The sequence below is a fragment of the Homo sapiens genome, chromosome 2 (genome assembly GCF_000001405.40).
Source record: "Homo sapiens chromosome 2, GRCh38.p14 Primary Assembly".
Lineage (NCBI taxonomy): Eukaryota > Metazoa > Chordata > Mammalia > Primates > Hominidae > Homo > Homo sapiens.
Window position 1 is genome coordinate 224,698,339 of NC_000002.12, and position 27,807 is coordinate 224,726,145.

The following is a 27,807-nucleotide window of genomic DNA, read 5'->3' on the forward strand; positions in this document are numbered from 1 at the left end:
CATGAGTAAGCTCTTTAGTGGAGATTTGTGACATCCTGGTGCACCCATCACCCGAGCAGTGTACACTGCACCATATTTGTTGTCTTTTGTCCCTTGCCTCCTCCCACTCTTCCCCCCAAGTCCCTAAAGTCTATTTTATCATTCTTATGCCTTTGTGTCCTCATAGCTTAGCTCCCACATATCAGTGAGAACATATGATGTTTGGATTTCCATTCCTGAGTTACTTCACTTAGAATAATAGTCTCTAATCTCATCCAGGTCATTCCAAATGCTGTTAATATGCTTTTAAAAACATAGCTTGATTAAATGAACATTCTCCTGCATTGATATTTAAAAATTAAGTATTGCAGCAGGTGGCAGAACTCAAGTCTCTTGAGAAAGGAATATGATTGAAGATTGTTGACTGGAATAACATACCTTTTCTTCCCCAGATGGTTTTATTGTCCTTTAAGTTCTGTGAATGGTGTTTTCCATAATCAGCAGGTACTACTGTATTTTGCCTTTAATTTTGGTGGCTAAAACTATCAAGCTCAATGTTTGTGCCTTCCAGGATTCTTAGAGGTTACAAAGATTTATTTTCTAGAGGATAAACTAGAATTTGGACCTAGAAATAAAATGAACTCCATTATGTTTCACATTTTCCCTGTACACAGCTGTCTCTGGTTAAGTTTATTGTAGGTTCTAACTGTAGAGAGCAGCTGTAGCTCAAGGCAATGAGAACAGACAGAACTGGGGTGCTAGAAAAATTGCCAGAGCTTGCCAGTTAGTCCTGAACACATTGTTTAGGCTTCCTTTGTATCAGTATGCTCATTTGTTCAAGGAAATTTGCTGGAGGCCATATTTATGAAAGCAGATAGCGGTGGCAGACAGTGTTGTACTTGACAATAAATAGTTGGATGTATTTGCTAACCCCTAGTTTTCATCTCCCACAGGATTATTAATTTGTACCATTATTGGTAGTGTTTTTGACCATCAAGAGTTCATCATGGAGTCTTCCTCCCCCTTCTTCTTTGTCTTTTTCTTTTCTATCTTACTCTTCTTTACAGGTGAAGCTCTTGACCCAGCACTAGGGAAGTGTCTTGCTGTCCAACTATTAGCTGATCACTCTTCAGTTCAACCTAGAGAAAATCAAAAGCTAGAAAAAAACAACAGCTAGAAATTTCATATCTAAATTTTATCAGTTTAACACCTTGACTTAAATTAGGCATATGTTGGGAGTCTATGTTTTGAATGGAACAAAATAACAGTATCTTGCATTTATTTAGTGCTTTATGCAACATATTGACCTTCATGATCTTATTTGATCTTTAAATACCCCTGATATGGTTTGGCTCTGTGTCCCCACCCGAATCTCATCTCGAATTATAATCCCCACGTGTCAAGGGAGGGACCTGTAATTCCCACTAGTTGAAGGAGGGCAGTGATTGGATCATGGGGGCAGTTTCCCCTCTGTTGTTCTCATGATAGTGAGTGAGTTCTCTTGAGAGCTGATGGTTTTATAAGTGTTTGGAAGTTCCTCCTTCACTTTTCTCTCCTGCCGCCATGTGAAGAAGGTCTTTGCTTCCCCTTCACCTTCTGCCATGATTGTAGGTTGCCTGAGGCCTCCCCAGCCATGTGGAACTGTGAGTCAATTAAACCTCTTTCCTTTATAAATTACATAGTCAGGTATTTCTTTATAGCAATGTGAAAACAAACGAATACAACCACCCCAAACACTGAGAACATTGAGATCATCTTCACTTTTGAGAATGCCTCAAATTACAAACATTTAAATTTGATAACTCACTTAGTGTCATACATTTAGGGGACAGCATGGAACTCTTACAGAAGGAATCAGGAAATATAAGCTCCAGTTTTGGCTGTGCTACAAACTAACCATGTCAAGTTAGTGGCACAACCACCGTGAGCTATTCTTAGTCTATGAAATTATGGCCTGGAACTAGAATTTTGCAGGAATATTTTATGATTTTTTGATTTTGGAATCTCCTTTCCCCATCAAAAGGAAGAAAAATCAGCTGGGCATGGTGGCTCATGCCGGTAATCCCAGCACTTTGGGAGGCCGAGGTCGGTGGTTCACCTGAGGTCAGGAGTTCTAAACTAGCCTGGCCAACATGGCAAAACCCCACTAAAAATACAAAAATTAGCTGGGTGTGGTAGTGGGCACCTGTAACCCCAGCTACTTGGGAGGCTGAGGCAGGAGAATCACTTGAACCTGGGAGGCGGAGGTTGCAGTGAGCTGAGATTGTGCCACTGCACTCCAGTCTGGGTGATAGCGTGAGACTGTCTCAAAAAAAAAAAAAAAAAGAAGAAGAAGAAAAATCTGCCAGAGTGATTGTTTTTGTTTATGTATTGTTTTCCTTGCAAGATAACTGTACAAGTGAAAACCATAAAGTAGACAAAAATATATTTTGAAAAAAGTTTTAAAACAAAATATGCTCATACTTTCTAACATTATGTTTTAGTTCTGTGGCAAATATGTCTTGACTCTGGGTTAGGCTACATTTTCGTGAAGATGTGGAACTTTAGCCTTTTTATCCACGTAGATGTCACTTCTTATACGACCCTCTTATTCTCTTTTCCCATCCTCAGACTTCCTCTTCCCTTTTTCATTTTCCAAAGTGTAACTTTCCACATCCCCTTTCTTGTTCTGGATCTCTATGTTTAGGAAATTGCGTTTAAGTCAGAGATCAAAATCTGGTATCTTAGGGCAGGGGTCCCCAACCTCTAGGCCACTGACTGGTACTGGTCCGTGGCCTTTTAGGAACCTGACTGCACAGCAGGAGGTGAGCAGCAGGTGAGTGAACATTACTGCCTAAGCTCCGCCTCCTGTCAGATCAGCAGCAGCATTAGATTCTCATAGGACCACTGGAAGTGCAAATGTAAGGGATCTAGGCTGCATGCTCCTTATGAGAATCTAATGTCTGATGATCTGAGATGGAACAATTTCATCCCCAAACCAACCCCTCTGCCTGTCTCCGCCATCCATAGAAAAATTGTCTTCCATGAAACTGGTCCCTGGTGCCAAAAATGTTGGGGACCCTTGTGCTAGGGGCTAGATCTGGCCCCTAGATACATTGTGTTTGGTTTTCACAGTGTTTAAAAAACTGAGCACATTGCCAATATTTATGAATCAGGAAATTTTGCATAAAAACCCAGATATTAATGTATCTTGAAAAATAGGCCATATGGCAATACTATGTCTGCTTTGCCATATGGCACTATGAAGGTGGGTAACAGTGGCTCTTCTTAGATGGAGCATATACATGTCTGCTCTCCAGAATCTTCACTCATTGTTGTTACTTTCCTGTCACTGCTAGGCATTTGAGTTCCTGACTTAGTTTCATACATACCAGTGGAAGTTTTGGGCGTAGAAGAAGACAAACATAACTAGTTGATCAGAGCATGACCAAGATGCATTTCATGTTCTTTGTAATTCATTATGTTTAAAAATATGCTCCAAGGGCTTATTATTAAGCACTATATCCAGCCGGGGAACAGAGATAGAGCGTTGTTTCTTTTTCTTTCTTTTTTTTTTTTTTTTGAGACAGAGTCTTGCTGTGTCACCCAGGCTGGAGTGCAGTGGCGTGATCTCAGCTCACTGCAAGCTCCGCCTCCCGGGTTCATGCCATTCTCCTGCCTCAGCCTCCTGAGTAGCTGGGACTACAGGCGCACGCCACCACGCCTGGCTAATTTTTTGTGTTTTTAGTAGAGACGGGGTTTCACCGTGTTAGCCAGGATGGTCTTGATCTCCTGACCTCATGATCCACCTGCCTCGGTCTCCCAAAGTTCTGGGATTACAGGCGTGAGCCACCGCACCTGGCCTATTTCTTTAATCCTATGTTAAATGATTTAATTTTAAAGCTTAACATTTTATAGTGTGGTGGTTTTTTTTACTGGAAACTGATAGATTCATGTAACTGTTCAGCTCATCGAACATGGATCAAATGTCAGTTACATACTCATTGAGCTTAGTGTTGGGGATATTTGTCATATTAGCTTGGCCAGTTACGACATTACAACTTGCATAGTTGTCATGTATTGCTTTAAAAAAGTTTTACTGTTTGGGGAATGTTTCTTTTTAACTGAGGTTAAGGTGAAATTCCCAATTTTATAGATATGCAAAGAATATAATTGTGCATAAACTAAAAATGCCAACTATCTCATGGGTAATAGCTTAATTATCTACTCAGTGTGGGTCTTTATTCCCAGAGGAGTGTATTTTCACATCCAGTTTGCATCTTTCCCCTCCAGTTGTAACCTTGCCCTATTGTATATCTGTTATAATGTTAGGAATCTTGTTAATATTCAATGAATGCCATAAATAAAAGAAGCATTTAATTTTATTACATGACTTTTACCACAGGGTGTTGGTTGCTTTATTTCTGTCTTTTCTAGAAGCCTGTGACTATTACAATTTATTCTTAGAAATGGTATGAACCATTCCTATCCTTTCTTTGCTTCACTGCTTCTACTTGGTGCAGGATCAGAGGGTCCTGGACCATGTTTCTTGGTATTTACAACAGTAGATCACAAGCACAGCTGTATGGCGGGAGTCACCTTGGAAAGCTCATTTAAAACGTGAATTTCACTTCTTCTTTCTGCCTTCCCCAGCTCCCCCAATCAATCTAATAGGTCTGGGGTGAGGCCCAGGAATCTGCATTTTAATAATCTGGATATTCTAATACAATACGATCTTTGTTTAAGAAGGGTATTTGTATCAGAAACTCAATTGCTATAAACAGGAAGAGGAGCTATTCTGTTAACTAGAAGTTCAGGAATTGGGGGAGTTGTGAGAACTTCCATTCCTTGAGTAGTGATGAGCAGAACCATTTTTTCTCTCCTTCCAATCAGGTTTAGTGTGCTTGCCCTTAGTCAGCTCACAATTGCTCTGAGTCCACAATGTAAACTATGGATGTTGCTGTGTTTGAGCTCACACGCCTGTGACACAGGCTCTTAAAGAACAAATGAGCTAGTGTCAGTGAAATATCAACACACAGTGAACTAAAAGGAGAATCACACTTATGTCACAGAAAACAAAGGATAGTTGCTTTTATGCCACTAATCAAAACCAGAACTTTTTTTCTAGGCTTGTTCTAGCTTCATCTGGAAAGTGAACAGAAGCATTTCTTGATGGCATAGTACAGACACTGACACTTAGCATATAATCACATTTAATTACTCACATGTCATATAGTCTACAATAGCCACTGCACACATACCAGTCATTAGTGCTCAGCAATGACAAAAAATAATTGCTTCCACTCCTTGGCCAAACAGGTCTATGGACCCAATACCAAATATTTTGTGTGTCTTACTGGACATCTTGCCAGACTTCTTTATAGGGAAAGACACTGACCCAGCTAGACCTTGGTGCTGCCATCTCTTGAGAATCAACTGTTTCTTACATTTAATCACTTCACATATCCTATTCTGCAATGATACTTAGCTGGTTTGTGGCCTGATTTGGTGAGTGTTTCAAAGAACTTGAATTTTTGGAATATGAAGACATGTCCATGGGTAACAGGAAACTGACTGCCTTTGTCTTGTCCCTACAGGAAGCAAAATAAAGGGAAGAAAAAGACTTTTTAGTGAGACTTTATATAGAACATTGATGATTTTTCCCCCCAATCACCAGATACTACCTACAGTGTTAAAAGTTCACTTAAAAATATATCATGATATTTTTTGTTAAGTTGTTCAACAATGATGTAAGGATATATATTGGAATGACCTTTTCATTAAACCCAAGGAATAGTGTGGATAAAACAAAAACTTAAAACTACTGAGGGAGAGACTATATGGCTGAGGAATGATTATTAGTTTGATGTTCAAAGTGGAAGAATATCTCATTCTTAGGCAAAAGTCTCTTGCGTCAAATCTTCAGCTCATGAAATGAAGCAGAAACTTGAGGCAATTATTTTATAGTCCAGATAAATCTGCTCCTTTTGACTGTGAATTAACTGAATACACATCATGCCTGAAGAGTAAAGGGGGTAAGAGCAATAGCCCCATGCTATCTGAGGGATTATATCTTTTCATTTTGCCTACTTCTCCTTTTACCTCTAAAATATTACATAGAATTTAGACATTAACCAGGAGAAACTGCTCTTAGGAATAAATCTAAACAGTGTTTAAAATGACTGCCTTTTCTTCATTTTTGTTCTCTTTTGTGGGAACAAAGAGGGTAGATAAGGCTGTAATTTCACTGAATGACATTTGGTGGCCTGCGTCTCAGAAAACACAGCTGCACCTTTTTTTTTTCTTTTCTTTTCTTTTTTTTTTTTTTTTCTTTTTTTTTTTTTGAGACAGAGTCTCATTCTGTCGCCCAGGCTGGAATGCAGTGGCATGATCTCAGCTCAGTGCAACCTCCTCTTCCCAGGTTCAAGCTATTCTTCTGCCTCAGCCTCCCCAGTAGCTGGGATTACAGGTGCACGTCACCATGCTGGCTAATTTTTGTGTTTTTAGTAGAGACGAGTTTTCGCCATGTTGGCCAGGCTCGTCTTGAACTCTTGACTTCAAGTGATCTGCCTGCCTTGACCTCCCGAAATGCTGGGATTTCAGGCATGAGCCACCATTCCCAGCCAGGCCAGCTGCACCCTCTTTTGGGAGGTAGGCAGGCCAGTGCTTCCAAGCACTGGAATCAATAAAATAATAACAACCACTGCCACTTGGTGAGCGGTCACTCAACCACCTCATTTACTCTTCACAAAAACTATGAGGTATCTGCCTTTAAGATTCCCTTTTTACAGAAGAGTAAACTGTGACACAGGACAATCTAGTAACTTTCTCCAAGGCCACATTGTTTGTAAATGATGATGGAGGTGGAATTTTGGCCATCTGATTCTGGAAGCTGCCTCCTTAAACTTCTTTCTGGATTTGGAAAAGGAGAGAATATATTTATTGTAATGAATCTGGTTTACCCTATCAGTAAACTGAATAACATAGCATTTCTAATTTTAACTGTTTATATGGGCCCTTGTCCCTAAGCTTGTCAACTGAAATTTGTTTTTCTAAAACACAGGAAGAAAAGATTGAATTTCTCTGTCAAAATTAAGAAAAAATTAAAATCCTGTTTTTAGTTTCTGGAAAGCTTTGATTCTTAGAAATATTGACATTGGCATTATTTTGTAAAATATTTTCGTGGTATAATAATGGAAAAGTTCACAAGCAAATTGGTTATGATGTCTGATATGATTCAAAAGTCAGTGCAAACAAATTGGTTCTTGATAAATATTTGTAAAATGCTTTGAAAGCTATTAGTGAGGAAATTAATTTCCCAAATAATCAGAGGAATAATATAATGACATTTTACTTTACTAGTTAATTCCTGAGAATATAAAAGACACATTTAAAAAGGACTACAATAAAAAAAATGCTCAATTCCTACTCAATAGTTCTAGTGGATTTCATGCCAATCCAGTTGTTGATTTTAAGCCAATACTGGCTTTCTTCCTTTAATACAACCTTGCAATTGGCTCAATCTTTCAAATTAACTTTTACATTAGAAATGGGTTGTATTCTAAATAGTTCATTAGTTGGCAGCTTGGAAGTTGGAAAACATTTTACTTTAGAAAAATAATACCTCATAAATGTTGGTTAGGTTCCCATACTATCATAGAAAATAATATAAATTGAAATGGAAAAACTAATAGTACTATAATTCTCAGCATTGTATGTCTGTGAGAATGGTTTAAGTGCAAAAAGTAAAACATTATGATATATACACTGTATAATTTCAACATATGTGAACACAAGCTATCCATCTCAATGGTAGTTATTCAGGTAGTGGGATTATGAAGAGTTTTGTTTTTAAACATTTTTACTTTGTATATTGCCTCTATATTTTGTAACTTTTTTTTTTTTTTTTTTTTTTTTTTTTTTTTTTGAGACAGAGTCTCACTCTGTCACCCAGGCTGGAGTGCAGTGGCCCAATGTCGGCTCACTGCAACCTCCGCCTCCCAGGTTCAAGCAATTCTCTGTCTCAGCCTCCCAAGTAGCTGGGACTACAGGCATACACCGCCACACCTGGCTAAGTTTTGTATTTTTAGTAGAGATGGGGTTTCACCATATTGGTCAGGCTGGTCTTGAACTCTTGGCCTCAGGTGATCTGTTCACCTTGGCCTCCCAGAGTGCTGGGATTACAGGTATGAGCCACTGTGCCTGGCTGTAACTTTTTTTTTTTTTTTTTTTTGAGACAGAGTCTCGCTGTGTTGCCAGGCTGGAGTGCAATGGCGTGATCTCGGTTCACTGCAAACTGTGCCTCCCAGGTTCAAGCGATTCTCCTGCCTCAGCCTCCCAAGTAGCTGAGAATACAGGTGCCCACCACCACGCCTGGCTAATTTTTGTATTTTAGTAGAGATGGGGTTTCACCATGTTGGTCAGGCTGGTCTCGAACTCCTGACCTCAGGTTATCTGCCCACCTCAGCCTCCCAAAGTGCTGGGATTACAGGCATGAGCCACCGCGACCGACACCTGGCTGTAACTTTTTTTATGATAAACATTTAGTGCTGCTATAGAACTGGATATATATATATGTATGTGTGTCTGTGTGTATATATATATATATATACACACACGCGCACTTTTTTTTTTAAGGAAAAGGACATATCTCTGCCATTCTTCTGTTTTCCTTCTTTGAAGACACATGACCAATGGAACCCAATGATTGAGTATTCATTTCTTGTTTCCATATCCCACATTTGATCTATAAATAAATCTTGTTGGCTCCACCTTTGATGCACATCTAGAAATCATGTCCACTGTTAGCACGCTTGGCAAAGAAATGATCCCCTCTTGCCTAGATTATTTTATAGCCTTCAGTCTGGTCTCCTTGTTTTCGATATTGTTCTCTTAAAATTTTTCACAATAGGGTTTCCAACCCAAGAACTTTTTACAAAATGAAAAGAACATGTTATCCACACAAATTTATTTACAATAAATCCAGAGTCACTGGAATCGGGTAGAAGGCCACCCTTGGCTCTCTGCCTACCTGTCCTTCTGCACACCAGCTTGCTCACTTGTCACACCAGGCTCCTGGCCTATCCTTGAACACACTGGTAATGCTCCTACCCAGGGCTTCTGCATTTGCTCTTCTCAATGCCTAGAGAGTTCTCTCTTTAGCCTTGATCAGGACTCACTCTCTCTCTCCCTTCTTTATTCAGATGGAAAGGCATTCTTTGGCCATGGTATCAAACATTTCATTATGCTCCTCTAACCCTTCTTTATTCACTTTATTTTTTGCTTTGGTACTTAACACCGTCTAACATAATATACACTTCATATATTTGCATGTTTACTGATTATCATGTTGCAAAGAAATAAGCTCCACATGGGCAGGGGTTTTTGACAATTCGGTTTCCTGCTGTATCTGCAAGGCAGAGAATCCTGCCCAACATGCAGCACACCCTCAGGATATATTTATTGAATGAATGAATGTAATAAAAGTATAAAAACCTAGACTGAAAAAATAAAAACTAAACTCATGATGACATTTGCCCCTGGGAGGACAAAGGAAAAGTTATATAAGACTTTCTTTATTGGTAACTTTCTTTCTTTCTCTCCTTCCTTCCTTCCTTTTCTTTCTTCCTTCCTTTCTTCTTTTCTTTTCTTCTCTTTACCTCCCTCCCTCCCTTCTTCCCTCCCTCCCTCCCTCCCTCCCTCCCTTCCTTCCTTTCTTCCTTCCTTCCTTCCTTCCTTCTTAGAGGCAAGGTCTCACTATGTTGCCCAGGCTGGTCTCGAACTCCTGGGCTCAAGGGATTTGCCCACCTCAGCCTCCAAAAGTGCTGGAATTACAGGCTTGAGCCACCGCACCTAGCCACATTTTATTTCTTTTACATATAAAAGCATCTGAAGCAAATATGATAAAACTTTTTGAATCTATTGGTGCATGTAACATTAATTTCTGAATATTTACAGAAATATTTTGGAAAATATTTACAGAATATTTTGGAAGTTTTCATAAGACATTTATTCTGGCTTTCCAATAATTTCACGATAAAGCATATATTCCTTAGCATTCCACGAGTGGCCTTTAATGATGAATCCTTCTCACTTCTCCATCCTCATTTATTTTACTACTTTTAGTTTCTCTCAGTGGCATGGCTTCTTCTATCCTCATGTCTGTTTCGTTCTACCTGGGATGACCTTTCCATTTTTCTTTGGCTAAATCTAGTAGTCCTTGGTGACTCCAGTTAATCTCCCTGCTCCTATGATAGAACCTTCTGCAAGGGAAACACAATTTTCATCCTGTCTTTGGAAATCCAAATAAAGCTGATTCAACCTTTGTATCCCACATCCTGTGGGAAGTCCAGTGCCCTTTCCAATATTTATGAGAATTCCTACAGGCCTCTTGCTTATGGTTATCTCTTGATTTGCTTTCCTGCCACTGCTGAGTTCGATGGTGCTCTGGGTCTCTCAACAATCATATTTTTTGCATTTTCTCTTTCCCGTGATAAGCTAATAATCATGAGACCCAGGTCCCCTCCTCTTGATTTTCCTCCTTCTACTCACACAAGACAAAGACAAGTAGAGATCTTGCTGAAGAGTTAGGGCCTCATTGGGAGTTGGAAGGTAGGGATGCAGAGTGTGGGAGAGAGGGGGCAGTGCATGCTCCTGCACAGTTGTGCAGATAAATTAGGCTTGATGTTAGAGGACTTGACTCTACCACTTCAGGAGCCACTGGCCAAGTTTCCTCTAACAGACCCTGGCTTCTTTTTCTTTTTCTTTTCTTTCTTTTCCTTTCTTTTGTCTTTTTTTTTTTTTTTTTTTTGAGATGGAGTCTCACTCTGTCCCCCAGGCTGGAGTGCAGTGGTACTATCTCGGCTCACTGCAACCTCTGCCTCCCAGGTTCAAGTGATTCTCCTGCCTCAGACTCCCAAGTAGCTGAGGCTACAGGCGCAGGCCACCATGCCTGGCTAATTTTTGTATTTTTAGTAGAGACAGGGTTTTGCTATGTTGGCCAGGCTGGCCTTGAACTCCTGACCTCAAGTGATCCAGCCCGCCTCGGCATCCCAAAGTGCTTTCTTGACTGTTGTCTCACATCCCTCCCATTCTCAGGCTGTTCCAGCTCTCTAAATACCAATTCACATATTTTGGAGAGCAAATTGGTTTTCTCTTTGTCTCTTGGCCCTTATGAGTTATGCCTAAATAATTTTTTAAAACAATTTCCCCTAACGCCCACTAAGGCACCTGCCTCCACCAGAACAGCTGTTCTCTGAGAGGTGTTCTGCATTCAGCTCTTAAAGTAACTGTGCCTACTCCCTGAGATGCACTTTATTGCAGTAGATAGTTTACTTGTGTGCCTTTGTCACTTAATGAGAGTTTTGAATGTAATGGCTTACTTTTGCTGAATCTTGTATCACCAGTGCCTGGCTTAGAATATGATCACTAATGCTTAATGAATAAATGAGTACTAAGTTGTCCAGTTGTTAGAGGCATCTATTAGAGGGTGCCATTTAACCTCAAATAAATTTGTTACTTTAAATTCCCAAAATTGACATAGGTAATATGGAAATTATTTATATGCTATTTGGTTTTGTTTCCTCCACTAGATAAGACTTCATTTATCCAGGGGAAAGTCTCAGTAACCATCTCAGTATGGGCCTATTCACCAGCTTGAAGTGTATTTTACATTACCTGCAACCACAAACATGCTCAGGAGAAGCTCTTTGGCTGGTCCTATTGCTGGTGAGAGAATCTGTGGCAAACACCTTTTCTTCCATGTCTTGCTTCTTAATTGGAGAACATGCCAATGACTTCAGTGTTCTCTGACCTTCTAGAATTCCGCTCTTTGGGTGACTTTTCCCAGATTTCCAGGGATCATTTACAGCAGATGAGCAAACTGATGATGAAATGGAATAGCGTCTAACAATCATGACATTGCCTGTACAAAAGACACAAAATCCAACTTAAAAAAATTCTACCCTAATGACACTCACAAATGAAAAATGATAGAATTTTATTGAAACTAACTAGACAGAACTATTGTTTCTCATTACTTTTTTGGCATAAAAGATATCCATTTGGCCTGGCGCGGTGGCTCACACCTGTAATCCCAGCACTTTGGGAGGCCAAGGTGGGTGGATCACAAGGTCAGGCGATGGTGACCATCCTGGCCAATATGAAACCCTGTATCTACTAAAAATACAGAAATTAGCCAGGCGTGGTGGCGGGCACCTGTAGTCCCAGCTACTCAGGAGGTTGAGGCAGGAGAATTGCTTGAATCCGGGAGGCAGAGGTTGCAGTGAGCCAAGATCATGCCACTGCACTCCAGCCTGGGTGACAAGAGGGAAACTTCGTCTCAAACAATCAAATAAACAAAAAGCATTCATTGATTTATTTTACAAATATTAATTGAGTGCCAACCATATGCCAGGATCTTTTTTAAAAGATGGGAATGTGGTAGAGAACAACATAAAATTCCAGAGTTCACCTTCTTATGTGGAAGACAGACAGTAAACAATAGATGATAGAATTCACATAGTAATACATTCTAGGAAGGCAAATAAGGCTGATGAGGACAAGGGGATAGAGACAGATGCAGGAAGGTGTTCGGAGGCTATTTCAATTGTGTGGCCAGGGAAGACCTTTCTGAGAATACAGCATTAGAACAGGGGCTTGACATACATAGATAATAAAAATAGACCTTAAAATTGGGAGAACATGAATCTCCCAGACATGCCAATTCTTGATGGCCTTCTTACTCCTGATTCTAGAAGAACAGGCTTATCCACAGTGTCTGATCACCTGAATGGCCACAGGAATTTAACAGGTTGTTGCTAACTGGCCTATGATTGCATGTCTTGGCCTTAGTTGGGACAGTCGTTAAGAGGATGTCTATTGAGTGAGAGACAAACGCAAAGGAGACACATGGCAAAGAGCAAAGATGCATGGTGTGGGAAATTGGAGAGCCCCTGAAAGAGATGGAGAGATTTGTGGCTTTAGTTTCCAGGGACTTCCAATTCAGTTTCTATTCATAGAGTCTCCCAATAAACTCTTTCCTTGAGGTAAATCAAATCTTCCCTGTTTTTTTTTTTTTTTTTAATAATGAAAACATGTTGATTAAAAGGGCTTTATTTTAGAGGCTCTTGGTATGTCTGAACGCCAGCTCTTACACTGCATTAACTCTGTGATCTGGAGCTGGTCATTTAACCTCTACTTGGAGGTCTGGTGATTATCCAACATCTACTTGCATGTCCAGTGTTGTCCATGTGGCTTACAACACTGATCTCATGGGTTGGTTTTCATTTTCTGGAGCACTTTATGAGTGATTGTGGAATCTTCATTCTTTCTTACTGCAGCTTTGCCATGAACGAGCATGAAAGCGTAAAAAAACCACTGCATTATGGGTAGGCTTTGAGAGTGCCAGAAGCACAATTATTTTTTATTTATGTTTGCTGACTGCTTCTGGAAAAAGCAGACAGAAAATCATTATGGTTATTTCAAAAGGTGGAGGCTGTTTCGGCTTTTTGTAGAACAGAAGACTGAATTGTAGGAGAGGTCTAGGGAGAGTTTAAGTTCAAATCTGTTTGAAGTGATTAACTACAAATATTATTCATAAATTATCTTTAAATGCTCCCCTTGGTCATGATATGTAACTTCCATAATTATCTAAAAACAGATCTGTGACTACTTACAAACATAAACGTTTTTGTTTAGAAGGATTATAAAACAATCCCTTGATACTGAATCGTAGGAAAACACAACAGGAAATTATGCTGATGATAGCAAAATTACGTTTGTTTTTACTTGGGACCTACAGTTAATTTGGGAGTGATTAGCATATAGGCTTATTGTTCATCTCCATGGGTCACAAAGGGTCTGTGTCCTTCAGTTTCTTATTAACAAAAAAGATATTCAACACAGCATCACAGGCTCATTAGAACATTTTCAAAGATCACAGCCAAATGCAGTTTATTTGCCAGCAAAGGATGTGAGCAGAGAATCAGAGGTCCAGCAATGCTGTAAAGGGTTGTTTCTTTTATCTTTACAGCGGCAAATTGCTTCAAGGTTCCACAGGGCAAGAGGGGCCGGGAAACATCTCTGAAAGCACTGGCTAGATTTCATATCTACCAAATATTTGTGCACTATTACAGATGTTTCCATGAGCATTTACCCAGCAAGGATTCATTCCGAGCAGGCACTCTGCATTCTCAGTATATTTTATCACCACACAGCTGTGTCTGGGCTGTAGCGTAGCTCTGCGTCCTCGGGTGACTTCAGGGGAAGTAGGGTTCTCCATTCACAGAGAGCCTCACTTTATCTCACCACACATACCAAGGAACACACGGAGGAACTTTTAGCTCTAAGTGATCCACTTCCAGGTCCTCTTTAATTATTCCCTTTCTTAAAGTGAGACTCATATTTCTGATTTCACATTATTCTTTCTGAAAGAATAGGTTTATGTATTTTTGTTTCCAAAAAAGGATTGGAGAAGTTGGGTAAGATAATCTCTATGAGGCTTATATTTTCAACTGCAAATAAGGAAATTTCTACTGGATGATCTCTTCCCTCCCTCCCTTCCTTCCTTCCTTCCTTCCCTCCTTCCTTTTTGATGGAGTCTTGCACTGTTGCCCAGGCCAGAGTGCAGTGGTGCAATCTCAGCTCACTGCAACTTCCGCCTCCCGGGTTCAAGCGGTTCTCCTGCCTCAACCTCCCGAGTAGCTAGGACTACAGGCACGTGCCACCACGCCCAGCTAATTTTTGTATTTTTAGTAGAGACGGGGTTTCACCATGTTAGCCAGGATGGTCTCGATCTCCTGACCTCGTGATCCACCCACCTTGGCCTCCCAAAGTGCTGAGATTTCAGGAGTGAGCCACTGTGCCTGGCCTCTAACGTTCCTTTCTAGTAACAGATTTCTATGATTCAATTAATTGTAAGTATGAATTTCAATTGATGTTGGCAATTACTATTAAAACTACTGATAAAAACTTATGCTCAAGTCAAATAATAATATTTTTCTGACATGTCCAATGATATTATGACAACTATTACTTAGTAATTTACATTGAATCTTACTTACACTATCTTTACTCCTCTCAACAGCCCTGTGAGGTAGATTCCATCATTACCTCCATTTTACAGATGAAGAGAGTGATCATAAAAAGCTCTACATCACTCTGTATTCATAGAATCACAGGATTTTGCAGTTGGAATAGGACTTGGAAGACATTTAGCCCAATCCACTTATTTTTACATGAGGATGCTAAGATCAGAAAGTTTATGTGACCTGCCCAGTGTTGAACAACTAGGAATTCAATCCAGGTGTCTTCATGCTCAGGACAATGTTCTTCCTACTTACATTACTTGCTATTATAATAGCACATAACATTTAAGAAACAGATAAACATCATTTAAAGTAACTCAACAGGACTCCCAAGTGCAAATCTAAATCACATTTCTTTCTGTGTTTTATTTGTGCAATAAGCAAGGTTTCCTACAATTTTATCAAATATTTTTCACCAGTATTTTTTTTTTTTTTTTTGAGACAAGGTCACTCTTGTCACCCAGGCTGGAGTACAGTGGTGCACCCTTAGCTCACTGCAGCCTCAAAGGAATCCTCCCATCTCAGCCTCTCAAGCTCTCAAGTAGCTCAGTCTATAGATGTATGCCATCATGCCTGGCTAATTTTTTCCTGGCTAATCCTTTTCTTTTCTTTTCTTTTCTATTCTTTTCTTTTCTTTGTAGAGATGGCGGTCTCACTATGATGCCTAGGCCAATCTCGAACTCCTGTCCTTAAGTGATCCTCCTGCCTTCGCCTCCCAAAGCGCTGGGATTACAGGCATGAGCCACCATGCTTGGCCTCACCAATCCTTTTCAAAGTTAATGCTAACATTCTTATTGGAAATTACCACCCATATGCTGAAGAAGTATGATATCAATTATGCGTTTAACTCTTATGAATATGTTCTAACCTCCTCTAAGCTTGATGATGTTTAGACCCTGAGAATTTAAAGGGCAATACTCTGTTCTTTGAACTGTGTTAATACATGTTTTAAAATAGGACAGTTAGTTCTAAGATGCAACTTACTTTTCTGTTAGGATAAGTCCCACAGAGAATAGACTTGAAGTATTGTTTATTTTTGGAGCAAGGCGGTGGTTTTCAATGGTGGATGGGGTGCGATTTTGTTCCCAAGGCAACATTTGGCAATGCCTGGAGACATTATTGATGGTCATAACTGGAAGGGGAAGTGTGAGTACTCCAGCATCTAGTGGTTAGAGGCCAGGGAAGCTGCTAAACACCCTACCATGCTCGAGATGACCTCCACAGTAATTATTCAGTCTCAAATGTCAGTAATACAGAGGTTGAGAAACCCTCAACTAAGCAAATATTATAAATGTCCACATCCTTTTTTTTTTCCAGCAAGAGAATGTCTAACCTCCTATAGGTTACTCTTTCACAGTTTTATTAAATAACCAGTAGACAGTTACTCAATCCAGAGTTGTACTTATGAAAAAGGAAAAAGACCTGGATTGGAATCTGTTTTCAGCTTTCAAATATAGGGTCTCATTAGAGAGACACATCTCTAACTGCGAGAACCAACCGGCAAATATGACCTGTTCCATTGTCAACCTGTTCAGAGCTTCTTTTTTTTTCCTTTTTTTCTTTTTGAGATGGAGTCTCACTCTGTTGCCAGGCTGGAGTGCAGTGGCAAGATCTCAGCTCACTACAACCTCCGCCTCCCAGGTTCAAGTGATTCTCCTGCCTCAGCCTCCCCAGTAGCTGAGATTACAGGTGTGCGCCACCACGCCTGACTAATTTTTGTATTTTTAGTAGAGACAGGGTTTCACCATGTTGGCCAGGAAGGTCTCAATCTCTTGACCTCATCACCCATCCACCTTGGCTTCCCAAAGTGCTTCTAATTGGCAGTGCCTGAAGCTTTTGACAGATGATTTTAAGAGTTTTGAGTATTTAATTATGTATATGAATTATTTTCTTTCAATATGGTGTGTGTAGGCAGGTATTGACAATTTTAATGTAGAGTATATTTCTCACTCTGCTGATTTCTGACCCCATGTGTAATCTTCACAGTCAAAATATTTCTCATAAAATGTGAGAGATTTGATTTTTAGAATATATCAAACATCGACTCTGTATCTTGAAGTCTTCAATCTGCATAGCAGGCTGAATTATGTGCAGTATTCATTCATACAGGACAATAAAGTTATTAGTAAAACATGGATAGGAAATAGTATCTGCCATTTGTTGTGCCTTGGCCAGGTGCAATACTAAGCATTTAGTTCATATTACTGTAGTTAATCCTCACAACCTTGTGAGATAGGTACTATAACACTTCCAGATGAAGAAAACAAAGATTAAAGAGGTCTAATCACTGGCTTAGAGTCAAGTGGCTGAAGTGGTCAATTGGCAACCATATTTGTTGACTTTGACATCCATTCCCTTATCTGGTGTGCAGTACTGTTCCAGCCTTATAAGTGTGCGTGCCATTTGACATACACACATTCAATGTGCTATTATGCAGCATTTAAATGGCTGAAGTTAAAGAGGAAAAAGACCACATTGTTCCTAGTGTGACTGATTTCCACAAACCTGTCTCTCTTATCTTTCCCAGCAAATATGGAAGTAATTTTAGTGTTGCTATAATGTGTTGCTTGAAGATGCTAAAGCCATTTTTGTCTAGGGATTCACAGGTAATCTACTAGGAGGAAAGGGATGAAACCCACCACCGTTATTACCAAACTATACAGTTATCTGATCAGCACAATACACTTAACTATTTCACGATATTTGCAAAATGGGCACAGCCCACAAGAGCTCAGAATGTTTGGGTACCTTGGTGTTCCTGCACTGCTGGTGCTGCATCAGTGGAAACGGCACCCTGAAGGGTTGCTGGAGATTGTCCTGGCGCTTCCTCCTCCCTTTCGTCTCCTGATTCTCTCCCTGAGCCTGAGGCTCTCTGACTACTTGCAGTGAGTTTCATCCGGAGGGCTTGATTCTCTTTCTCCAGTTTGTGGATCTCTGCCCGCATTTCCTGGATAAGTCTCATGAGCTGGATATCAGCTTCCATTGTCTCTTCTCATGTTGCTCTAGTTGGCTTCTTTGGGAGAGACAGGTGGACTTTTCCTCATGAGCCCAAAACACAATCTACTCAGTGGGTCTGGCTGATCCTGCTCATAAACCTTTCCAAACAATAGCTGTCACTCTTCTCTGCGCCATCTTTCAGCACCTGGGGGGTTAGGCTGTCAAGGGAGGTAAAAGATCTTCCATGAAGTATTCATTCTGGGTTTTGTTTTTCAAAACAGAGATTTTCTTTCTATCTTTCATTTCATGTCAATCCACAGTTCTAGAATATTGCTTTGTGTGGGAGGAGAAGAGAACACTCCACAAATTTCCAGTGAAGAACAGTTTCTTGTTTCCATCATGAACTTACCATCACAACAGCCACTCAGTCTTTTCTCTATTGCCACTTCTGGGATCAAATGTATCTCAGGATCACCAGCTGCCACAAGTGCATCAAAATGGACATAGAAGAATTATGCCATGTCTTCTCTGTCTAATGTGCCATAGTTCTGCATTTTTTGGTAAATTATTAATTTTGACACTTACTAAGGAAGGGTAACATTAATCACAAGGGGTCATATGAACTGCAGGGATATTATTTAAATATGACGTTGGTAATTAATACCTAAATCCCTCAAGATAGGCCAAGGAAGGACAGATATTATCACTCCTCAGTAAATTTCTATCTTAGAAACATTTTGCCATTATTTACTTCTAGGATGTTTGCCTGGGCAAAGGCTGCCAGGGGTATTTTGGGAATGTAAGAAGATACAGGCTAAACATTAATCTTGAATGAGAGAGACATGTGACAATAACAGCTTTTGTTACCTATTTCCTGAAGAGGTTTCTTTGTGGGGGAATGAAAAGTACAAATCTTAAATAGCATATGCCCTGATAGCAATATCTGTTTGGAAATTCAATTAATGTTTAAACATAAATGATCTTTTGCAATACGGTGAAAATAATTAGAAAACTTTTTATGGGGATAGATTTTCTTTCACATTCATTTTTGTTTTCTTTGCGTGTGCCCGTGTATGTGTGTATGTGTGTGTATTTGCCCATCCTAATACATATGTGTTGATTGATCCAAGGCTGTTTAGATGGAAGGAATGATTGAAGAAAGTATTACTCCTTTTTTATTCATACAAATTTATTTTATATGTTTGAATTTTATGTTCACTAAAAAGTCAGTATATAAAAATGATGAGAGCATTTTCATATACTATTTATATTTGTATTTAAATGAATTTCAGTAAACATGTGCCACTCCAGAGGCTGTAGAAGTAGCTTGTAGAAATATGGACTATGGAGCAAAATGGGACTGGAAAGGTCATCCAATCTCACCACCTACTGGATGTTCAGATCTGTTCCACAGTATCTCTGCAATGGATCATTGACCCTATATGTGAGTATTTCTTTTGTAGGAGAGTTTCCTTCCTGCGATTTTCTTTTTGAGAAAATTTACTCATAAACGAGATAGGCAGTATTATCATCCCCATTTTACAGCAAAGGAAATGGGCATAGAAAGTTGAAGACACTTGGCCTAGGTCAGGGATACTAAATGCAGGCAATGTGACTCAGGAGTTTACATACTCAATAATTATCTGTACTGTGCCCCTTAGAATTGTGCCCACCTCATCAGATATTCTTTAAATTATTTTTATTTTTAATTATTATTGATGCATAACAGTTGTACACATTTTTGGGGTACATGTGATTTTTTTCTTTTTTTTGAGACGGAGTCTCGCTCTGTCGCCCAGGCTGGAGTGCAGTGGTGCGATCTCGGCTCACTGCAAGCCCCGCCTCCCGGGTTCACGCCATTCTCCTGCCTCAGCCTCCTGAGTAGCTGGGACTACAGGCGCCGGCCACCACGCCTGGCTATTTTTTTTGTATTTTTAGTACAGACAGGGTTTCACTGTGTTAGCCAGGATGGTCTGGATCTCCTGACCTCGTGATCCGCCCGCCTCAGCCTCCCAAAGTGCTGGGATTACAGGCGTGAGCCACCGTGCCTGGCCCCCATGTGATATTTTGATAAAGCACACAATGTATAATGAGCAAATCAGGGTAACTGGTGTATCCACCACCTCAAGCATTTATCATTTATTTGTGTTGCTTTTTAACTAAAATTATTTCCATTGACCAAAAATTGGTCTCCGTTCAGCTCGTTCTTAGCTCTTCTCTTTGGAGACATTATGCAATATGTCTAATCTTTGCTTTAATAAAAATTATTGTTCCATCATGTTCCAGTGAGTTTCTACACTCTAGAAAAAACAGCCTCAATATTTTTAGCTGTTGTTTTAATCTAATGTGTGTTCCAGGGCCTGGAGTGCATCTTGGACTCTCTTTTGAACATGTTTCAATTTGTTGATAGGTTTCTTGAACTAGGATATCCAGGTCTAAAGGCATTCTCCTGAATGCATCTGACTAGAATAGGACAAACTGCCTCAGCTTCCATAAAGTATTTTGTGGTACATTCCACAAAAATGGGCCGTAAAATTCATTCTTGAAATTGAACTCAGTGTTGAAATTGTATTTGCTTCTTAAAATTGCATTCAGCAACAAAGCGGAATGTGAAAATAACTTGTACTGTTATTGGAAATGACAAGATTATATCATTATGTATAGACAATTTGATTATATATCTAGAAAGCCCAAGAAAATAAATCTGGGTGGGTGCAGTGGCCCACACCTGTAGTCCCAGAAATTTGGGAGGCCGAGGTGAGTGGATTTCTTGAGCTCAGGAATTCAAGACTGGCTCGGGCAACATGGTGAAACCCTGTCACTACGAAAAATACAAAATACAAAAATTAGCCAGTCATGGTGACACGTGCCTGTGGTCCTAGCTACTCGGGAGGCTGAGGTGGGAGGATCGCTTGAGCCAGGGAGGTCAAGGCTGCCGAGATTGTGCCACTGTACTCCCAACCTGGGTAACAGAGCAAGCCCCTGTGTCAAAAACAAAACAAAACAAAGCAAAACAAAACCCACAAATGAAAAAAGTCCAAAATTTTATTTTGTAATCTACTCCTATGTTACAAAATAGGCACTTAAAAATCAATAGTTTTTCAAAGTACTATCAATGACCAGTAGAAAAAAAATGAAAAATATTCCACTGACAATAGGTCTCTGCATATAAAATGCCCAGGAATTTTTTTGTTTGTAAGGTTTATAATTAAAAAAAAAAAAACTAACATTTTGCTGAGATATAAAAGAAAACTTAGGAAAATGGAAACTATTTTCCTGTTAAGAAGACTGACTATTTTAAAAGAAGTCTTAATTGAATTTCTTTTCCTTACTTTTTTTTGTTTTTTTGAGATGGAGTCTTGCCCTGTCACGCAGGCTGGAGTGTAGTGGCATGATCTTGGCTCACTGCAACCTCTGCCTCCCGGGTTCAAGCGATTCTCCTGCCTCAGCCTCCTGAGTAGCTGGGATTACAGATGCGTGCCACCACGCCCAGCTAATTTTTGTATTTTTAGTAGAGATGGGGTTTCACCATGTTGGTCAGGCTGGTCTTGAACTCCTGACCTAATGATCCACCCACCTTGGCCTCCCAAAGTGCTGGGATTACAGGGGTGAGACACTGCACCAGGCCATCTTAGTTGAATTTCTAATAAAAATCTCAATGGGACTTTTAAAAAAAGAAATTGATGAAATCGTTTTAAAGGTCATCTGGAAACAATTGTTATGAAGTATGTGAAAATGAAGAGTAATTATTGGGGACTTGCTTTATTCAATTTTCCAATATAAAATGAAGTTACGATGATAAAAACAGCAAATATTGGAGAATTTGCAGGCAGGACAAAGTTACAGACATTTCCTAGAAGAACAGCAAATGGCAAAACATGAGGAAAAAAGCTCAACTTCATCAGTAATTTTGCAAATTAAATTACTGAAATTTATGTTGAGGGGTCGAAGAAGTTAGCAAAGATTTTGAAAATAAAAAAAGTTAATGCAAATACTATTAATAACTGACAAATCTTTCAGATAAGCAATTTAACAATAAGTATCAAGGATATTTAACAAGTGCTTAACTAGCCTTTAAATTCCACCTTCTAGACTCTACCTAAGAAAGTAATTGCATGTAAAGATTCTTATAAAATGATGCATGCTGCACATTGATAGCAAAATGCTGGAAATAACCTAACTGCCCAAAAGAGGAAGATGAATAAATAGAATATGGTATAGCCATAAAACAGAATAATACTCTGAACCTGAAAATGTTGTGTGGAAAAATTAGTATACCCAACTGATATGGTTTGACTCTGTGTCCCCACCCAAATCTCATGATGAATTGTGATTCTGAGTGTTGGAGATGGGGCCTGGTGGGAGGTGTTTTGATCATGGGGGTGGTTTCTAATGGTTTAGCACCATTCCCCTAGTGCTGTCTCATGAGTGAGTTCTCATGAGATCCGGTTATTTAAAAGTGTATAGCATTTCCCCCTTCTCCCTCTCTCTGCTGCCATCATGTGAAAATATGCTTGCTTCCCCTTCACCATTTTGCCATGATTATAAGTTTACTGAGGTCTCCCCAGCCATGCCTCCTGTACAGCCTGTGGAACTCTGAGTCAATTAAACCTCTTTTCTTTATAAATTGAGAAACCTTGTCTCTACTAAAAATACAAAATTAGCCCGGCGCGTTGGTGTATGCCTGTAATCCCAGCTACTTGGGAGGCTGAGGCAGGAGAATCGCATGAACCCGGGAGGTGGAGTTTGTGGTGAGCCGATATCATACCATTGCACTCCAGCCTGGGCAACAAGAGCGAGACTCCATGTCAAAAAAAAAAAAAATTACCCAGTCTTACATAGTTATTTATAGCAACGTGAGAATGGACCAATACACCTGCTGTATATAAAACATTATCTAAACTATGTTAAAAATGGAAAGAAATATCCCAAAGGAAAAACAGTTTCTAAGTTTGTGTGGTAAGATTTTTGATGATTTTTAGTTACCCGTGTATGTTATCTGAATTTTAAAAAATTCTGTAATTGGCTGGGCCCAGTGGCTCAAGCCTGTAATCCCAGCGCTTTGGGAGGCTGCGGGGGCGGAACACGAGGTCGAGATTGAGACCATCCTGGCCAACGTGGTGAAACCCCGTCTCTACTAAAAATACAAAAAATTAGCTGGGCATGGTGGCGGGCACCTGTAGTCCCAGCAACTCGGGAGGCTGAGGCAGGAGAATGGTGTGAGCCCGGGAGGCGGAGCTTGCAGTGAGCCAAGATCGTGCCACTGCACTCCAGCCTGGCGACAGAGCGAGACTCCGTCTAAAAAAAAAAAAATTCTGTAATTATGTGAATGGCTTCTATAATAAAAAAAAGTGATGAAAATAGAATAAATAATATGAAAGAAATTTAATAAAATGAAGTGATATTACATTTTTTTGGAATTTTTGGTGGACTTTTGAAGTCAGATGACTAGTGAAAACTGGAATTTTCTTATCAAAGTTGTTGTAGTCTGTAACAGTTGTCATAAAAATTTGAAATTTTGATATATAGTGAAAGCTGTTTAGAATTAGTAAATTTTTATACGAATGCAAGAACCAAGTTTTTTTTTTTTTTGAGTCAGAGTCTCACTCTGTCACCCAGGCTGGAGTGCAGTGGCGTGATCTCGGCTCACTGCGACCTGTGCCTCCCAGGTTCAAGCAATTTTCAAACCTCAGCCTCCCGAGTAGCTGGGATTGTAGGCACCCGCCACAACATCCAGCTAATTTTTGTATTTTTTGTAGAGATGGGGTTTCACCATGTTGGCCAGGCTGGTCTCGAACTCCTGGCCTCAAGTGATCCACCTGCCTCAGCCTCCCGAAGTGCTAGGATTACAAGCATGAGCCACCACGCCTGGCTGGTTTTTTATATAGATGCATACATATATATACACACACAAACATGTATATATTGTAAAGCATATGGATGTCTTATGTAGTGGAATAAGCCAAGGTTTCCCTAGGCATCTACATAGCTAATTTCCTCATCTCCTGCCTCAGCTAGTAAACACCATACCTCCAGCCCCCAGCCTCCAGCATGAGTCAGCGCTGTGGGAATTGAGTAGGCCTTTGGCTCTTCTCAGGTCTGAGGGCAACATTTTAGAAAAAAAGATTAGCCACATTAGGCTGTCTGCTTTTCAGACACTGGAAACCTGGCAAATACCTTCCTTCCACCCGGCTCAAACAAAGACCACAACATTTGCCTTTTCTAGACATAACATCATCTTGCTGGGATATGGTATGGAGGGGTGATATGTGGCTTCCTTACCTGTCAGAACCTTCCATTTTAGTCGATGACAAAGGATGAGCAAGGTCAGAATAAAAAGAAGGGATTTTGACTGGATCATCAGCACTTGATCATATTTCCTTCTGTGCAGAGATATCCAATTGCCTTACCCTCTGTGACATAATAGGAAAATGTCACTTACATGAAATCTTATGTCTTACTTTTCAAGCAGACATACATCCTGCTGTTATAAATTATTTAAACAGCTACCGAGAAATTCTACTTTTGCAGCATTTGCCAAGAATTTACTTTGACCTTGAACTTGATATGCAGCTATTGTCACAGTGATTTCCCAGGTGACCAGAAGCAGCTGGTGTTTCTATGAGCCCAGACTCAGCAGCAGATTTGACAGTCTGCCATTTTGCTGTTGTTTTGACATTTGAGTATCACACAGTATCAGAGTAGTTGTGTGGAAAGGAAAGAGATGAAAAGTTTTTGATGGTCATGACATACATGAAATGCTGATGAGTCTGTGAGAGGGATGTTTACGGAATGCCCTGGGTCAACTCACATGAAAGAGATTAGCTGCCTCCTTGTGCAGCGAGACGTGAGATGATCATGGCTTGGTTAGGTTCGTGTGAATGCAGGGACTTCCTTGGAGACAGGTATGGGAAGGAACATCTACCATTTGATAAGCTGCCACTGGCCTGTGGGGAGTTTCCAATGAGAATAGGAATTTCAAAGCCCCCTTGACTGGCATGTGTGCAAACAATTTGAACTGATATAATGGACAGGGTGAAGATCCCAGGTCCTAACTTCTGCTCTGTCATTAACTCATTATTACATCTTAATCATAAAATATAGACATTGCAAAAATCATAAATAAATGTCTTACAGAGTGAGTCAGGTAAAATAAATGACTAGAGATGCAGAGGTTGGCAACTACTCAGCTCCAGCCATTTGCTGCCATAAAGGATTGTAATTGCAGTGTTTCCAGTTCTTTTGACTGTCAACCTCAAGTAACAACAGACAGAGTGGCTCTCAAAATAAATGAATTTGTTCCAGAATGAGCAGGGGATCATAATTTAGGATATGCATGCTATGGCGGATCATAGGCATATCCAAAGAGGTTAGGATAAGGGGAAATTTTTAAAGGCAAAAAGCAGAAGTTCACACAAGCTGTCCTGAAACTAACTTCATTAGTCACAGAGGCTCACTGCAGGAGCTGTTGATTACTCATTGGCAATGCTGATCATTGTTGGAAAGACGTCTTCATAGAAGCATCTTATCTAGAATTTTTTGTGGTGTCAGAGAGTTCTTGAAATAGTTCTTATCATAGCCATGTGTGAATAAGGACCTTCAGAGAGTCTTTAAAATAGTTCCAATCTTAAACATACATGCATGAGGTCCCCTCCCTCATGACCTCTTGGCCCTGCTTTGGTCTGGGTCTGACATAAGTGACTCCATCTTGGCTTCAGCAGCTTTCACAAGGCTTTCCAAAAGAAGCTGGGAATTCAGATTTTATATGAGATATTCACTTTTTATAAGTTTTTTTTGGTGTATTCTTTACTGATATATCAGAATTGTACATATTTTGGGGGTGCATGTGATATTTTGATACACATATACAATGTATAATGAGCAAATCAGGTTAATTGGGATATCTATCACCTCTGACATTTATCTTTTCTTTGCGTTGGGAATATTACAATTCTTCTCTTCCAGCTATTTTGAAATATACAGTAAATTACTAACTATAATATCAAACACTAGAATATATTCCCTCTATCAAACTATTTTTATACCCGTTAACGAACTTCTGTCTATCCTTTCCTTTCACCTTCCCTTTTCAGCCTCTGGTTACCATCATTGTACTCTTTACTTTCATGAGATCTAGTTTTTTAGCTCCTGCATATGAGTGAGAACATGTGCTCCTTGTCTTTCTGAGCCTGCCAAATTTCACTTAACATAATGACTTCCAGCTCTATCCATGCTGCTGCAAATGACAGGACATTTTTTTAAAATCCATTTGTCTGTTGATAGGCATTTAGGTTGATTCCATATTTTGGCTGTTGTGAATAGTGCTGCAATAAACAAGGGAGTGCAGGTTTCTCCTCAATATAATAATCACCTTTCTTTTTTTCTTTTCCTTTTTTTTTGAGACAGAGTCTTGCTCTGTCGCCTAGGCTGGAGTGAAGTGGCACGATCTTGGCTCACTGCAAGCTCCGCCTCCTGGGTTCACGCCATTTTCCTGCCTCAGCCTCCCGAGTAGCTGGGACTACAGGCGACTGCCACCATGCCTGGCTAATTTTTTGTATTTTTAGCAGTGATAGGGTTTCACTGTGTTAGCCAGATGGTCTCGATCTCCTGACCTCGTGATCTGCCCGCCTCGGCCTCCCAAAGTGCTGGGATTACAGGTGTGTGCCACCACACCTGGCTAATTTTTTGTATTTTTAGTAGAGACGGAGTTTCATCATGTTGGCCAGGCTGGTCTCGAACTCCTGACCTCAGGTAATCCATCTGCCTCAGCCTCCCAAAGTGCTGGGATTACAGGTGTGAACCACCACACCTGGCCAGTAGTTCTATTTTTAGTGCTTTGAGAAACCTCTGTATGTTTTCTGTGATGGCTCTACTACTTTACATTTCCACTAGCAGTGGACCAGTGTTCCCCTTTCTCTGCATCCTTGCTAGCTTTTTTTTTTTTAATAGCCATTCTAAGTGGGGTGAGAGAGTATCTCATTGTGGTTAATTCACATTTCCCTTGTATACCTGCTGGCCATTTGTATGTCATCTTCTGGGAAATGTCTATTCAGGTCTTTTGCCCATTTTTAAATTAGATTATTTATTTATTTGCTACTGAGGTGTTTGCTTTCCCTGTATATGCTGGTTATTAATCTCTTTTTGGATGGATAATTTGCAAATATTTTTCCCATTCTGTAGGTTGTCTCTTCATTTTTAGCTTGATGTAATCCTATTTACCTATTTTGGCTTTTGTTGCCTGTGCTTTTGAGGTCTTGCCCAGAAAACTTTGCCCAAACCACTGTTCTGAAGTGTTTCCCAGTGTTTTCTTCTAGTCATTTCATGGTTTCAGGCCTTACATTTAAGTCTTTAATCCATTTTAATTTGATTTTTGTATATGGTGAAAGATGGGGATGTAGTGTTACTCTTCTGCGTATGGTTATCCAGTTTCCCCAATGCCATTTATTATAGAGGCTGTCTTTTCCCCAATGCATGTTCCTGGCATCTTTGTTGAAAATGGGTTGTCTCTAAGTGTGTGAATTTATTTCTCGGTTTTCTGTGCTGTTCCATTGGTCTATGTGTCTGTTTTGATGCCAATATCATGCTGTTTTGTCTACTATAGCCTTGTAGTATAATATGAGATCAGGTAGTGTGATGCCTCCAGTTTTGTTCTTTTTGCTCAAGATTGAGATTGCTTTAAGCTATTCGAGGTCTTCTGTAATTTTATACAAATTTTGCAATTGTTTTTCTTATTTCGGTGGGGAATGTCATTGGTATTTTGATAGGGATTGCACTGAATCTGTAGATTGCTTTGGGTAGTATGGACATTTTAACAATATTGATTCTT

The 27,807-nt window shown here is 39.9% G+C and overlaps 1 protein-coding gene and 1 long non-coding RNA gene across 2 annotated transcripts in view; one reads left to right on the forward strand and one right to left on the reverse strand.

Moving 5' to 3' along the window:
• LOC105373910 (uncharacterized) overlaps nt 1–19,425 on the forward strand; it is a 39,168-nt gene extending 19,743 nt beyond the window's left edge. Inside the window, exon 3 of the long non-coding RNA XR_923956.2 lies at nt 19,274–19,425. This is a non-coding gene — a long non-coding RNA (uncharacterized LOC105373910). The remainder of the gene's footprint in view (nt 1–19,273) is intronic.
• Nucleotides 5,426–18,027, reverse strand: CCDC195 (coiled-coil domain containing 195). Its single transcript, NM_001395236.1, has 3 exons — nt 17,793–18,027; nt 11,635–11,881; nt 5,426–5,549 (listed from the first exon to the last, which is right to left on the reverse strand). Exons 1-3 carry the CDS (start codon nt 18,025–18,027, stop codon nt 5,426–5,428), a joined length of 606 nt encoding a protein of 201 aa, NP_001382165.1.
• Nucleotides 19,426–27,807: the final 8,382 nt, after the last annotated feature.